Genomic DNA, 16420 nt, shown 5'->3' with positions numbered 1-16420 from the left:
TGGAGAGGTGGGGAGGAAACCCGCCAGGGTCTGGTGGGGAGCCTTGAAGGATTTTAAGCCAGGGAAAGACATGGTCCAATTTGCATTTTAGATAAATCGCTGTGAGAGGAGAGTGGAGAATGGGGTGAGCTGGAGACAAAGAAGCCAGCACAGAGCTGTCAGGGGAACTCGCCTGGCCGGAACCCAGGAAGCCTCACTGGAGAGGGGCAGGGGGAGGCAGAGAGGGGGAGGCAGAGAGAGACAGACATGGAGGGACGGGAAAGACCCACAAAACAGAGAAAACAGAAAGAGAAAGAGGTACAAACCAAGAGAGCATCTCAGAGACACGATGAGAACACAGAGAAGCAGAAACAGAAACAAAATGGGGAGGGGAAGAGAAAGACAGAAATTCCATCCATCCAAGGAAAGTGTGGCAGAGAAACCCGACAGGAGATGTGGGCAGGTGCGGGTGATCTCCGCAGGACCCTAGGCTCCCTGGCCCTCGTGGGACCCCCTCCCTCCACTCTCTCTGCCACCCCTGGAGGTACTGAGCCTGAGGGAGAGAGGCAGAGAAGAGAAAAATAAAAAAAAGAAATAGAGAAGAGGATGGGGTGGGATGGAGGAAGCGTGAGGGAGGGCGACCTCCACACAGGCCAGGCCCAAGAAGCCCAGTGGCCATAGCCCCAGCCGAGCTCCTTAACGGGCTGGTCTCTGCAGTTCCAGCCTTTACACATCCTGAGACAGATTTATAACTGGAAGTCTATTTGAGTTTATCAAGCAGGAGAGCAAGGCGGAGTTGGATATTTCTCATTTTGGTGGTCCCCAGAGGTCCATGTCTGCATTAGCGAACTGGAGACATCATCGTAGATTCATTCCCCTGCCCTTCCTTATAAAGAAACGGGAAGAAAAAGCTAAAGGACAGAAATGCTTGCCTCAAAGAACAACACAAAAATCCAACTAGAACTGGGCAGCCCCATTCGGAACAGGGAGGCTATCGACTCCAGCTGGGGCCAGTGACACGGATACCTGCCCCCATTCCCACATGTCCTCCCCGGCACGGCTTTACCTCCTCAGTTCTCCTCCTGCCCAAGAGAGGATAAAGACTCTAGTCCAGGCTCTCACAGACTCCCTTTGCCCCTCAGAGAGAAGCCACGGAACATTGGGACCTCTCCCAGACATACGGAAAAACTGTGCCTCAGAGTGAGGCCAAGTCTGCAGGCCCACCCCACCTTCCAATCACTGGGTGACCCGAGACAGGTCACTTAGCCTCTCTGAGTTTAGCTTTCTTCATCTCTAAGATTGAACCCCAACCAGGTGCCAGGTGCCAGACTTGAGTGGATCTGCTAAAATCATCTATGTGAAAAAGCCTTCTGTAAACTGAAGAGGGCAGTGCCCGTGTGATCTGTCCAGGCAACGGAGGAGATCATGTAGCACTTCCTCCAACATAGTGCCTGTCTCCTCTCTAGAAATGTGCCAGGGTATCAGACCTCAAACCCTGACCCCTGGCTCACATCACCCTTACTCTCTTTGTGCAAGTCTTATCTTTCCACATGGCCAGATTGATGGAGGGTCAAGGCTCAGGAGGCATGCCCAGGGCCCAGAGAGGAAACATCCACTTGAGCTGCTTCTCACGGAGCTGGTCAAAGAGCTGCCAGGCCAATGCCAGGGCTGGGTCAGGGCAGCTCTGGAGAGAACAGAAATGGGCTCCTGGGAAGAAACCAAGTGACGGGCGGCTTCCCAGGGCAAGCCTGGGCCATTTCACAAAGGAGAACAAGCCTTGAGACCATCCGCATTTAACTGAGGGTCTCTGGCCAGACCCCAAGCAGAATAGCAGCCAAGGAAAAGCAGGCTGGTGACCGGAGGCCAGAGGGGACCCCTGTCAGCTGGGAAGACAGCCTACCCACCTCACCGCACCAGATTCAACAAAAGGAACCAATCAGCCACGTTTGGGTTGGTGGGGGCGGGGGTAGGACACAAGGGCTGAGACAAGTGTGAGGAGGAGCACGATTCTGTCCATAAACATCTCAATAGCATGATTAACTGAGCATTGCAAATTGTAACCCTTTCCTTTAATGCACTTTCCCTGAATTACCGCAGGAGCCTGTGGCCGAGGAGCCCGTACAAATTGCTAGAATGGGCAGTTAAGCGGGGAGGTCGGAGGTTAAATGAACACGGTTGTTTATGAAGACACAGCCCGAATCCATTTGCATTTTAATATTCTCTCAGTGAGACGGAAAGCCACTTTGAGGACAGCTTGTTTGGAAATCCCATTAACGGGTTATTTATGGGGCTCGTGGCTGCGTGACCCTTGCCCTTGTTTTGTTAAACATGAACCAGACATGAATCAGACGGGCAGCCGGCTAGCTGCTATTGTTTCCTGTAGCACAAAATGTCATCGGATTCAATTATTCTGAGGCTGACACTTTCTGAATTATCACCCTCATAATGCTCAATTTTCCCTTTTTTCCCCTTTGGTCAACCTGATTATTTCTGTCTTTGTAGAAAGCTGAACTCTTGAAGCAGCCATTTCGCCACCACTGGCTGTCAAGGGGGCTGGAGGCACTACCATTTGGGGCTGGATGAGGCCCCCGAGAGGCTGCCAGCCTGGGGGGATGGATGGCGCAGGTGGTGTTGGGGAGAAATCCACCCACTGGACAGCTGGCAGCCTCTTCACCCCACTTTTAGGTGGGGGGACAAGCTCCAGGGCCCTGTGTTTCCTTGAGAACTGAATTCGTGGGCTCTGTCACCTGCATCTCTGAAAAAGCCTTTTGATCAACATTGAAATTGATTTCTCTGAAAAAAATGAACTGGAAACATCATAGAGAAGGAGGTGGGCATGGAAAGTCAAGGGATATTCTGGCATGAAAAGTTCAGTGGATTAAAAAGTCTTATTTTAACTTAAATGATAAAACGGAGGCAGGGAATACTCCAAAGTGAGGAAACAGCCCAGAGTTTAGTCTCACGCTCAGATGTTTGCCATGTGGAGTCAATTCACCAGTTCTCAGATGGATTTGCCTTAAAGTGGATGTCATTTTAAAAGTAAAAAGGGATCCTGATGTCCTGGACCCCAAGTTTGGGCCATGGCCTGGGGCCATCTCTCCTCAGTACATTCCGGCTCCCAGCCTGGGCACATCCAGGGCCAGTAGGGCCACTCCATGGGTGTGGTATCCATGGCTTCTCTCTGGCTCAGGAGATTAGGAGGTGGTCAGTCTGTCTGGCCAGAGCTCTGCCTTGCAGCCCCACAGTCCAGCTCCATTCAGCAAAGTGTCACTGGTCTACTAGGCCCAACAGCCAGATCTGGGTGCTGGGAGAGGTGATGGAATCAGACTGACATTGTCACCTTCCCCCTGCCATATAAGCCATTATTTCAGAACAAGGAAAAGCTTTGACGGGCATCCCAAAATACCTGGGGATATTGTGACCCAGAGAGAAGGCAGGAGGAGCTCAGGTTGACAATTTGCCAGGCAAAGAACTGGTACTAGAACACAGGACTTATCCCTTTGGCATGGCTCCTTCTGTGACACAGAAAGCTGACATGGCACCTGCCTGTCTGGAATAAAAGAAGAGCTAGATGGCTGGGCATGGTGGCTCACGCCTGTAATCCCAGCACTTTGGGAGGCTGAGGTGGGGTGATCACTTGAGACCAGGAGTTCAAGAGTAGCCTGGCCAACATGGCGAAACCCCTTCTCTACTAAAAATACAAAAATTAGCCAGGCATGGTGGCACATGCCTGTAGTCCCAGCTACTCAGGAGGCTGAGGCAGGAGAATCGCTTGAACCTGGGAGGTACAGGTTGTGGTGAGCCAAGATTGCGCCACTGCACTCCAGCCTGGGGGACAGAGCAAGGCTCTGTCTCAAAAAAAAAAAAAAAAAAAAAAAAAAAAAAAAAGACGTGCTAGAGCCCAAGGAAGCGCCTTGGGATGGGGTTTGGGAATGAGAATACCAGTAACCAGGTAGCACGTGCTAGATCCCATCATGCTGACCACTCCAGGCCTTACCTGCCTGGCTCCCCACAGCCTTGCCAAGGGCTATCTCTGGCTGCTGGAGCCCACTTTGCCACCTTCAGGGTAAAGATGAGAAAAGCCAAGAAATTAAAACCAATACATTGATGGAGCAGCCCTCCATGATGACTTTTAGGATTGGGCGTGATAAACAGCCCAGCTTCCCAGCCCTCATGGAGGCTAACTCTAAGGAGCACGGTCTCCTCTGCCTCCAGTTACCCACAGGGGTGGCTGACTTGATGCAGGACTCTTTACTGCTCCCCTAGTCCCCCAGCCCTGACATCTCACTTCCCCACTCCCCTCCCTCACTCCCAAATAAACGATTTGTACTTAAGTTACTGTCTGGGGGGCATCTGACCTCAGCATTTACACTACTCAAGGCTGTACCCAAAGGGGGCCAACCTGGGGTGGGCATGAGAGGGCGCAGGCCTGAGCGCCCTGCTCCCCCCTGCCCAGGTGCAGGGACTGCTGCGAGAGCACCTGCATCTTCTCAGGAACTCTCTTCCTAACACTTGCCGCAAAAGCCTTTCCACCAAGTTTAAAATAGATTTCTCCTTATGAATGGGCCGTCTGAGGAATTCTCCTCCAGTGGTTAATTCAATCTTAATAGAAGCTGATTTTTTTTCTCCCAGAAGAGAAGGGAACAATACATCTTTAGAACGGGTTTATAAGTGTCATGATTTTTTCTACTAATTTACGCTGCATTCTCTGCTTTAAAATGTGAAATTACCTCATTGTGTCTCTGAATAGCCTCTGTGCTTGGGCCTGAAATTAAGCTTGCCGGAGAGAGGCCTAAATGACCACAATTTGCTGTGTGAAATGCCCTGATTGCAAGAGCAATCCCCAGCAATCCCCAGCTTCAGCACAGCCCAGCTCACTCAGGCTGATTGGCCTTCCCCATGCACGAGGCTTTGCCAAATACACCTGATGCTACCTGCCGTGCGGGGGAGGGGCGGTAGCGGGGAAGTTGCCCGCCTGGGCCGATTCATCTTCAGTCCCCACACAAGCCACCTCCCAGGAACAAAAGAGGATATGCTCCCTGCTCAGCCACCAGGTAAACAGGGTGGCCCCACAGATAAACACGGCCCATGGCCCACCAGTCCTCCCCCGACCAACATCTCACAGCCAGCACAAGTGTTTCTAACCCTCCACAGCCTCCGGATTGCTCCTCGTTCTTCGTCAATTGCCCTGTGGTCCTCAGCTCTTTCCACTTCTCCCAGGGTTTAGCCTCTCATGAGAAGATTCTGTGTCACTGGGTGCCAGGCCCAGCCTGGGCTGGGGGTGAGGAGGTCAGACTCCTTGAGTTCGAATCCAAGCTTACTATGTGACTGTGAGTCACGCATCACTTCCCCGTGTCTCAGTTTCCTCCTCTGTAAAATGGAGACAGTAATATGCACAAAAATAGAGTTGTCAGTAGGATGAAGAGAATGCAGTGAAAGTGTCTGGCTATGCTGGTTGCTCAGTCAGTACTAATGGGTCTGTTTCAGGCCACAAACTCAGGTGTGCATAAATTTTAACTTTATTTTTCTATAACGCACACTAATGTCTCCTTTTCCTATAACACACACTAAGTGGATTCATTTCCACGCAATGAAAAACACTTTCATTTGGGAGAAAAGCAAGCTGACCTGGGAGAGTCTAGAAGCTGAGATTGGCTCAACACGTGCATCTTCTCTCATGTGCCCAGAGGCAGACATCCCTGCTTCCTGCTCCAGGTTTCCAGGTGGGGGTTCAAGACCCCTCGACCCGGAGTCATGAGTGGCCCTCAACCCAGCACCAGAGCTCCGCCTGGACTCATATACTTGGGACCAGCCCCCTCCTCCACCCAACTGTCCCCAAAGGACCAGCAGTTCCTCCTGGGCTCCTGGGCCTTTTTAACCATTGTGGTTTGGGAACAAAGACAGCCACTGGCTTCAGCTCCAAGGTCCTACCTGCTTGGCTTCCACCCTCCAAGTTTTCCTGGAGCAGCAGAGAACAGATTCACTCATTCCACCTGGTCTCTCAGGCTGAATCCTAGCGTCATAGCCTCAGGGAGTGTCCGAGTGGGCGGGGCTCCAGCTAGCATTTTCATTTCCTGGGACTGCCTTAACAAAGCACCACAAACTGAGTGGCTTAAACAACAGAAACAAAGGGTCTCACGGTTCTGCAGGCTGGAAACTTGAGATCAAGGCACTGCCAGCGTTGGTTCCTTCTGAGGGCTGTGAGGAAGACTCCGTTCCTCACCCCTTTCCTAGCTTTGGGTGGTTTGCTGGCAATCTTTGGTAATCCTTGGCTTGTAGACACATCACCACAATCCCTGCCTTTATCTTCACGTACGGTTCTCCATGTGGCGTGTGTGTACAGGGTATGCGTGTCTATCTCCAAATTTCCCCCTTTTATAAGGACGCCAATTACACTGGATTACGGCCCACCCTAATGACCTCTTTTTAACTTGATTGCCTCTGTAAGACCCTATTTACCTCTCTGAGATGGGGAGAGAGGTTGGACTTCAACATATGAATTTTAGGGGGACACGATTTAACCCATAACAGCTAGCCATTCCCTTAGTTCATGGATGGGGATACTGATGGCCAACAGGGAAAGGGTTTGCCCCGCTCCATCAGCAACCTGGTTTCAGAGGTGAGATTCCAACTCAGGACTCTCTTAGCCATGACTCATCTCTGACCTCTTGACATTATAGCCTGGGGGAGGTGGGAGAGGCCTGAAGGAAAAAACTTGGCTGTGACCCCATAGGGCTAAGAGTGACTGCATCTCTGACGGGTCCCATCCAGGCCCAGAAGCTGGGCCCACGCACCCTGCTCCGAGCTGAGTGTTCCTAATGGTCAATCAGGCTGTACCAAAGAGCTTTTTAATAAACATCATTCATCTTATTCCGGTGCCAGCAATGGGACTGGCTCATACACAGGGAACACAAATCCTAAATGCAGCATTAAAATGATTTTAATGTTCACCGTCAAGTGCCAAAGCTTGGGGCTCCCATCTCCACCGCAGCCCATCTTGACGTGGAAGTTGGGATCCTGAAAGGCAATTTTGTTAATGCTACTGGGAGGAGCATTCAGGTCTGGAAACTCATCCATCATCTTAACACACTTCAGGATGGACTGGGAAGATAAAGCTTTCATTTTCTGTGCCAGGCGGAGCCTCTTCAATTAGGCTCTGAGGGATGCAGGGGAGGGTGGGAGCAGGGATGGGCACCCTGAGGGTGGAGGGAAGGGGATGGAAATTCCTTGTGTACAGAACAGCCTGGGGTCAGGGGAGTGGCACAGACCCTCCCTTCATCCTGTAAAATAAGGAAGCAGGCTGGGTGCAGTGGCTAATGCCTGTAATCCCAACACTTTGAAAGGCTGAGGCAGGAGGATTGCTTGAGGCTGGGAGTTTGAGATCAGCCTGGGCAACACGGCAAGACCCCATCTCTACAAAAAAAAAATTTTTTTTAATTAGCCAGGTGTGGTGGTATGCATCTATAGTCCTAGGTACTCAGGAAGCTGAGGTGGGAGGATCGCTTGAGCCCAAGAGTTCAAGGTTACAGTGAGCTATGATCATGCCACTGCACTCCAGCCTGGGTAACAGAGCGACACCCTGTGTCCTAATAAAACAAAATAAGCACAGTATAGAAAATGAAGGGCGGGGTCTGCCCCAGTTCTGGTGGGGGAAGCTCAAGGTCTGAGTCACAAAGAAGGCCCTGGGAGAGTGAGCAGAGGGGTCAGAAAACAGCAACCTCAGAAGGGGTCCCGGCTGAGCTCTCCCTCTGCAGCTAGGAAGGGAAAGGGGACAGCTCCAGGACATGGACAAGAGGCCATGGCTGTGCCACAAAGAGAAGTCACCAGACTCAGAGGCTAACATAAGTAGACTGCTGGTAGGCTTGGAGCAAGCCAGGAGGACTTCCCCAGAGGAGGGGCTAAGTAAAATGCAAAGTTTCCCTGAATTTGGACTTGGGGTAGGGTATTTGTACTGCCACTTATATCTTTATCCTGATATATTGTCACCTGCCATGGCTGGACTTCCCCAGAGTCGATTGATTATTGATCAGGCTGCCAATAAGTCAACTAGGAATTTACTGAGCAATATCCACTAGGTGCTTAATGGGCCTTGCCCTCTGCCTATCAGCCAAGAAACATTTATTGGAACTCTCCAGTAACAACAACAACAATAATAATATGACAGCTACAGCTTATTGAGCACTTACTATTCATTTTAACTGCTTTACATGTACCATTCATTGCTTTTCTTGCCTGCTTCATCTTCCATCTCTCCCTGCCTCCTGCTTTATGCCCCAGTAATACCTGTCTGCCCACAGAGTGATTCATATCTGACACCCATGCTATTTCCCTGTGCAGAGCACCTTGCCCATCCTTCTTCAACTTACCATCCTCTTATTCTACAGATGTCTGCTTAGGGATCACCTCCCCAGGAAGCCCACCTGAGCTCCAGCTGGAGCTCAGAGTCCTTCCTACATGTTCCCAACTGCTCCCAGCTGAGAAGGCAAATGGAATCATGATATTCCCATGGCTTCATCCACAGCAGACATCACTAATAGATCACCACACTGTTTCTGAGAACTTCTCGGGGCTCGGCCAGAATTGCCTGCCATGAATGCACAAAATGGGTGATTAAATCAGATAGCTGACCTGCAGAGCTTAGCATAACACCTGGGTCATAGTGGCACATGTTCAGTGCTGTTGCATCATTGTGTCCCAACCCTGTCTGCCCCCACCCCACCTAGGACCCACATTTTGTCACCTTCTTGGTGGGGGAGTGGAGGGGAGAAGAGGCCTAATAGACAAAGAACAGAACAAGACGAGAAGGGCCCTTTCTAGGGAAGAATGTGAACCAATAAAAGCAGGGGAACAAATGGCCTGTGACTTCTGCCCACAGCTAGGGATGGGTATCTGTCTGAGCCTGGGTCAGATCAAAGGGTAGAGTCTCTTGGAAGGATGGGAGAGGAGGCCAGTATGGGGCACGTGGTTGACTTTTTTGCTTCCTAAACCTAAATAACTACCACTCGCAGATCCTTTACCTACCCAGCACTGCACAAAGTACCTTACATGCACACCATGCACACACTTCATCTCTCCATCCCCAAAACCACTCCATAGAGTTGATATTATTATCCCCATTTTACTAGTAGGGAAACTGAAGCCCCAATGGATTCCTTGTCAATATGGGGCTTTTGACTCCAAAGCTCTTCTACAGCACACCCTACCTTTCTGTCCCGTGACTGCTTACCTTTGAAATAAAAACTCTGTGTGTGTGTGTGTGTGTGTGTGTGTGTGTGTGTGTGTGTCTGTGTGTGTGTGATGGGAGTAACAGGGCTGGGGAGGCTTGGCAGAATTTAAAAACAGACCCTAAAGGTTCACAAGGGCATATGTAAGTAAGGAATAGAATTGCTCTAAAAGCAAATACAGAAACTAAATAGCATGTGCCTGCCCAACACCTCATTTCTTCCTTTTGTTCAACCTGCTTTCCTCCCCCAGCCACCTACTCTTGGTCTGATGGCCCTTTCACAGTTGCCTAAAAAATCACAGGAAGGGCAGGAGGCTCCCTCATCCTGGATCCACACTGTTTCAAGTGACCAGTGACCAGGAGTCTCTTTTTTCTGAAAATGGAGCGGTTTCCTTGTGTTCTATGTAAATCAGCTGTGTGTAAATGTGCATCTTTAATGGAGGATCTGTCAGGTTGGGCTGGGGTCTGGCTGGGATGGAAGAGGACAATAGATTCCACACTCTGGGATCAGGCCTGCAGGGAGGGGACTGTGGGGCTCAGGAGGCTGGGAGAACAGGAGCCAGATGCAGGGGTCGGAGAGCAGGAGTGACGAAGCCCAGGGCTGAGCCTTGCTGAGACCTGGAGCCTCAGAACCAAGGTGGCAAGGAGCAGAGAGCCTGTAGTGACAGCTGGGCTGGGGGAGTGCCATGTGCTGGGGTGAGGAGGAGAGGCCTCGGGCTCTGGGGCAGCTGGGCCACCCCCTGGGTGCCAGGAAAAGGCCTCAGGGCAGCCTCAGAGCTCCTTCGGCAAGGGTTGTGCGCTAACCGAGGTACTGCAATTGACTGAGGGGCCCCATGTGGCCTGCACTGCAGGAAGTGACCCGCTTAGGTTCCACAAAGCAGGATAAGGCTCCGCACAGCCCCTGATGGATACAGTGGCACTCAGTAAATGGTAGTGTTGATATTTAAGTCTTTAATTGCAAGTAAAAATAAGGCCATTCTCATTAGCTTAAGCAGAAAGGAGGAATTTATCATAAGGACCTGGGGTGTCTCCTGGATCCCAGGGGGAGGATGGAGCTGGCGCTGGCCTCTCTCCATCCCCTGCAGTGCCTCTCAAGTCTCCTCTCCCTGCAGACCAGCTCCTTCCACCTTGGCGTGGAGTGAAGTGCCACCCCACCACCCCTGAATTCACAGGTCTGAATTTCTGCCCCTCCAGAGCCTCATCAGCTCTCAAGCCCAGTTCCAAATTCCCTGGAGAGACAATCTCGCTGGCCCAGCTTGGGCCAGGGGTCTAATCAGTCATGGCTAGGGGAGCGGGGATTGCATCACCGTCATTCATTTACTTAATCATTTGTTCATTTAACAATGATTGATGGAGCACCAGCAATGTGCCATGCCTGCTATAGATGCAGGCAACCAACAGAAAAAGCCTCTGCCCTCAGGGAGCTTACGTTCTAGTTCAGAGAAGACAGAAAAGAAACAGCTGACAAATGCACAGGATGTCAGGACAGCAATATGGCGGGGCAAAGAGAGAGCTGGGTGGGGACAGGGATGAAATTCCGTAAGGTGGACAAAGAAGACCTCATAGGCAAAGTGACATTTCACGAGAGGCCTGAAGGAAATGAAGGAGACAGGCAGTCTGAATTGGGGGGAAGAGCCCTCCAAGCAGAGAAAAGCAGGTGCCAAGGCCCTGGGGCAGGAGGCTTGGGATGGGCCGAGGACAGGCAGGGCCTTCAGTGCTGCTGGAATAAAGCTCACCATGTGGGAGAGGAAGGAGAAGAGCTCAGAGAGTGGCAGGGCCCAGATAGGACAAGGTCTGTGGGCCAGTATGGGGCGAGACATCATGAAAGTTCTGAATGGCATAATCTGATTTTCGTTTCACAGGGCGTAGCGTCTCAGAACCTCCTATGCACAGCCTCAAGTCCTCTGGGCCTCACTCACCATCACTAGTGCTCTTGACCTCTTGTTTTGCCCCAGCTGCTGCCACAGGGACTGACTCCCCAGGTGAGCTCCATCCCAGCCACAGCTGCAGGGACCCTGCAATTCTGCAGGCTGGGGCCACCTCCAAGTCCGCAGGATCCTTCCTTCACTTCTGCACCCAGAAAAAATTACACCAAAAGGCATGTTTTCTGATTTCTTCAGAGTCACTGAAGGGGTGGGTGACAAAACCCAGGAATGCAGGAGAGTTGATGCTTCATGGGGCAAGCCTTTGTAGGAGATGAAAGGAAATCTGAGGATAAATTCTCTCTACAACCCACCCCCATCACCAGATTTTCAGGTCTATTCAGATACGGCATGAATGGCATAGTCCATTTTCATGCTGCTAATAAAGACATACCTGAGACTGGGTAATTTATAAAGGAAAGAGGTTTAATTGACTCACAGTTCATCATGGCTGGAGAGGCCTCAGGAAACTTACAATCATGACAGGAGGGGAAGCAAACACGTCCTTCCTCACATGGCACCAGCAAGGAGAACTGCTGAGCAAAAAGGGGAAAAGCCCTTATAAAATCATCAGATCTCATTAGAACTCACTCACTGTCATGTGAACAGCAGCATGGGGGTAACTGCCCCCATGATTCAATTACCTCCCACCAAGTCCGTCCCATGACATGTAGGAATTATAGGAGCTACAATTCAAGATGAGATTTTGGTGGGAACACAGCCAAACAATATCAGATGGTCCTGAAGCAAGAAGATATACCTGGGACCAAGCCATCAGCTACACTTGTTACAAAAATGTGTGTCAACAAAGCTCAGCATTACAGTTCCTTTGGTTTGCTCTCCTTCTCTCCCTGCCTCACTCCCCACTGCCCTCAATCTTGCTACCAAGGGTCTGAACTTCTCATTAATGTGATTACACGAGTTTCTGCCTCAGGCTCTGTCTTCTGGGAGGACTAAGGCAGTTGGTACTAGGCATGGCCCTCAGGATGGGATTTAGGAACCAGATTGCCCACCCATCTGAAGACAATAAGGGACCCCATTGCTGGTGGAAAACAGAGTGGTGACCTCTGGTATGCAGGGCTTCACCAGGGCTAAACTTTCACCTGTAGTTAGTGAGATGCAGTACTAGGAAGAAGGCAAGAAGCTTCGGTGCTTGATCAGTCTGGAGGAAATTATAAGGACTATGGTGAGGGTTCACTGTTTTTGACAGCCAGGAAAGCCTTGCAAAATAAAATAGTGGGTCCAGGGAGGCTAATTGCCAGCTGAAGGCATGCCTTGGAAGGCAGAGGACCCCGTGGCATCTTTAAAGGAGACTCATCTCCTCCTGCCACAAAGCAGACTCTGCTGAAAATTGGGTTCAGGATTTGATTACTAAGGGAGAGACCTGCAAAGGAAATGAGTGCATAGTCTCACAGGTGACCTTAAAGTCTGTAACAGGTAAGGCGTGGAACCCTGACGTAATGGATGAGAATATTTGTATAGATAAGCCTGAAAATCTTGAACCGCAAATTCCCCCTCTGTGCTAGAAGAGGCAACCCCTCCCCTTTGCTGGTAGAGAACAGCCTGCTGTCACCTGGGGACCATGCAATGCCGCCACCCACAGCAGAGTGAGCTGGAAAGGTAAGATGGTGTTCAGAAAGTAGGATGCTTGAGATTTTGGAGGGGATACAGTTATTGTTAGTGATAAGCACTGGGGTGTGACCTTGAGAGTGACAAGTGGGATTAGGTGGAATGAAGGGAGCCAGGGAAGTGAGACGCAAGGCTCAGAGAAGGATCGTCTCTACGTGTGATCACCAAGAAAGATCGTCTCTGCAGAAATCACCAAGAAGGATCGGTCTCTATGGAGATCACCAAGAACTGAGACAGGGCAGTGTTGCAGAAAGAGTGCTCAGCATTTAAATATCTTCAGGGAACGGTAGAGGGGAGTGACTAGGGCTCTCTAGATGACTGCAACAAGGACTATCAAAGAGGTGTGGTCTGATGGCACAACTTCAAAGCCACAGTTTCGGGGGGGATGCGCAGGAATAAATGATCTGAAAGAGGCAACAAGGAGCAGGGAGGACACCTACCCCACCTACCTGTGGTTCAGGGGCTGCGGGAATATGAACAACCACCACTTGAGAGGGATTCAGGAAAGGCAGCATCCTTGAAGGGGAGCTGAGTTTTCTCTAGAGTAAGAAGGAGAAGGGGAGCATTCAGGGACAAGGATGAGGTTACAGGATATTTTTCTGGTGACTAACCATAGGAAGCGCAGTGGAAGGATTTGAGGAGTAGGAAAAACAGAGAGTTAAGTCATGTTAGGGGATGTACAGAGCCAAATGAGGATCAGAGAGCAGAGGTTGAGGAGTAAGCTGGGAATCTGGGGATTTCGCAATGACTAACTTCAAAAAGGGTAAAAAGCATAACAAGATTTGTCTGGATAGCCTCCAAGGCGGATGGTTGTGGTGAGGCTGTGTTGGGAAAAGAAAGAAGGGGACCTTGAGGAACATCAAGCTCTGGGGTCCCCCCTTTTTTGAGACAGGGTCTTGCTCTGTCACCCAGGCTGGAGTGCAGTGGTGCCGTCACGGCTCACTGCAGCCTCGGCTCCATGATCTCAAGTGATCCTCCTGCCTCAGCCTCCCTAGTAGCTGAGACCACAGGTGTGCACCACCACACCCAGCTAATTTTTATTTTTTGTAGAAATGGGGTCTCTCTATGTTGCCCAGTCTGGTCTCGAACTCCTGAGCTCAAGCTATCCTCCCACCTTGCCTTCTAAAGTGCTGGGATTACAGGTGTGAGCCACTGCACTTAGCCTGGGGGCCCCCTCTTTAATCTTGCCAAATGCATACAGACCTGACTGCTGGGGCCCAACCCTGAGGATCAGAAAGAAGAGAGGTCAGATTCTAGAGAAGGCATGGGTAGTCATGAGCTGGACAGACACCCCAAAAGGTTGAAATCTGAGTCCAATTCCTCACTCTGCCTTAGCTGAGTGATCTTGGGCAAGTCCCTGAGCCTCTCTGAGCCTGTTTCCTCATCTATAAAATGGAAAGGTAATACTTCCATCATTCCATCATGGGATTATTGGGAGGAGCCTATGAGATGGGCAGTAAAGAGTACTGAGTGCAGAGCCTAGCTCATCCCAAGCCCTTGGGAAGAGGTCGCTCTTTGTTTAAAGAGACTGTGCACTTAAACCATGCAATCTGGTGTGGAACCTTGACTGCAAATTTCAGAAGGTCTCCCCAGTTCTGATCCCTCTTTCCTCAGCAATGTCTGTTGGAGCTCTTTGGACTGAATATTTATTTAAAAAATGACTAGACGGGGAATGAATGAAACCCTCATCATGGAATGAACTACATGGTTTTCTAAAATGTTAACTTTAGTATACACATAGACATGGCATACTCCAAATACCCTACAGAATAGGTCTGATGTCTATACCTGGGCCTCCACACTGGGGTCATAGTAAACCTCCAAGATAGAAGTAACTGAGGTCCCTGTCCTTAGCACCTGAGAATGCTCCTTTGTGTCTAGCATGGATTCATTCTAGACCCATCATTTCCTTCTATCAAGGCATGTTTAATCATTTAATAATTTTTTGAGTGCCTACTGTGTGCCATGACTTGTATCAGACAGTTCATTCAAGAAAACAGAAACTGGAATTCCTAGGAGACAGGTACTTTAAAAAACTTTGAAAGGGCTGGAAGGACATACGTTAATGAAACCCACTGCTATATCTTAAGAAGTTGCATGAAATAAGGAAAATTGCCAAAATGGTTGTTCCTACTTCCAGGGCTAAGGTGGATAATTTCAGGAAAACCCCCAGAGCCCACCGCAAACATCTCACATTTACCAAAACCCACGCATCAGCCCATTGCTTCTGGAAGAACAGTAACATAGATTCTGCTTCTCTTCCACCTTCCAAATCTTATGTGTGCCATCAGCAGGATCAAAACAGGGATTCTGGAAAATGTAATTTCCAAGTGACTAGCCCTTATGGTACAAGAATGTGCAAAGAAGAGGGGAAATGGTGCTGAGCTGCTACCTGACAGTCCAGCATAGCTCTGTGCTAGGTGTGGGGCTATGATGGAAAACAAACAAAGCTCTTGCCCTCTTGGAGCTTATATTCCATGGAGAAGCCAGATGAGAAAATGAATTTAGCACAGGTAATGTCATTAATGAATGTTATGAAGACAAATCTGGGTAAGGAAAGAAAGAGACAGATTGGGATGTCCTTTTAGTTAGGGTGGTCAGAGACTTGAATAAAGTAAGGAAGCCATGTGGACATACAGGGGCATAATGTCCCCTGCAGAGGGGACAGCATGTCCAAAAGCACTGAGTCAGGAGGATGCTTGACCTGTTCAAGTAACAGCAAGACCATTGTGGACAGAGCAGAGGAAGAGAGGGGCACTGTGGTGGGAACTGAGATCAGAGAGGTGGGCAGAGTGGGATGGCACAGGGCCTTGTGGGCCATGGCAAGCACTTTTCTCAAAGTATGATATGAAAGCATTTGAGCAAAAGAGTAATATGATCTGACTTAAGTTTGTTTTTTGTTTTTTGGGTTTTTTTGAGGCGGAGTCTTGCTCTATTGCCAGGCTGGAATGCAGTGGCACGATCTCGGCCCACTGCAACCTCCACCTCCTGGGTTCAAGCGATTCTCCTGCCTCAGCCTCCCGACTAGGTGGGACAACAGGAGCGCACCATCCCCAGCTGATTTTTGTATTTTCAGTAGAGACAGGGTTTCACCATGTTGGTCAGGATGGTCTCGATCTCTTGACCTCATGATCCACCCGCCTCGGCCTCCCAAAGTGCTGGGATTACAGACATGAGCCACCGCGCCCGGCCCTGACTTAAGTTTTAACAGAATCACTCTGCTGTGTGAGAATTGGGGAGGGGGCAATGGGGGAAATGAAGCATGGGGCCCAATGAGAAGGCTACTACAATAGTCCAGAAGAGAAATGTTGAGGCCAGGATGTGGGAGCGGGGTAGACCAAGATGGTGGTAGAAGAAGTGGTGGGGATAGGTCAGATTCAGAATCTGTTTCAAAACAGAACTGGCAGGACTTGATGAATAGGAGGTGGGCTGTGAAAGAAACATGGGAGTCAAGGATGACTCCAAAATTGTTGACCTGAGCAACCAAGAGGTTGATGATACCATTGACTGAGGTGGGAAGAAGCAATGGGGGACAAGGGAGACAAATTAAATGTTTGACTCCTGACATGTTCAGTTTAATATCATTTTTATATATCCAAGTGGAGATATGAGGTAGAAAATTAGATATACAGGCACATAATTCAGGGAATAATTCAGATCCAAGGAC

The 16420-nt window shown here is 49.9% G+C and overlaps 2 annotated features.

Annotated features, from left to right (window-relative positions):
• Positions 1493–2935: an enhancer, noted in NCBI's record as "VISTA enhancer hs1001". NCBI's record gives its function as "enhancer in: neural tube[9/11] | hindbrain (rhombencephalon)[9/11] | midbrain (mesencephalon)[10/11] | forebrain[9/11]" and the evidence as "EXISTENCE:transgenic organism evidence [ECO:0001131][PMID:17130149]".
• Positions 9934–10464: an enhancer, noted in NCBI's record as "H3K4me1 hESC enhancer chr1:38704546-38705076 (GRCh37/hg19 assembly coordinates)". NCBI's record gives its function as "activates a minimal SCP1, AML or CMV promoter by ChIP-STARR-seq in naive H9 embryonic stem cells {active_cell/tissue: H9 hESC(naive)}" and the evidence as "EXISTENCE:reporter gene assay evidence [ECO:0000049][PMID:30033119]".

This window comes from Homo sapiens, chromosome 1 (assembly GCF_000001405.40).
Source record: "Homo sapiens chromosome 1, GRCh38.p14 Primary Assembly".
In the NCBI taxonomy this organism is placed as follows: Eukaryota; Metazoa; Chordata; class Mammalia; order Primates; family Hominidae; genus Homo; species Homo sapiens.
The sequence above is the reverse complement of the archived record's forward strand: the minus strand, read 5'-3'. Positions and strand labels throughout refer to the sequence as shown.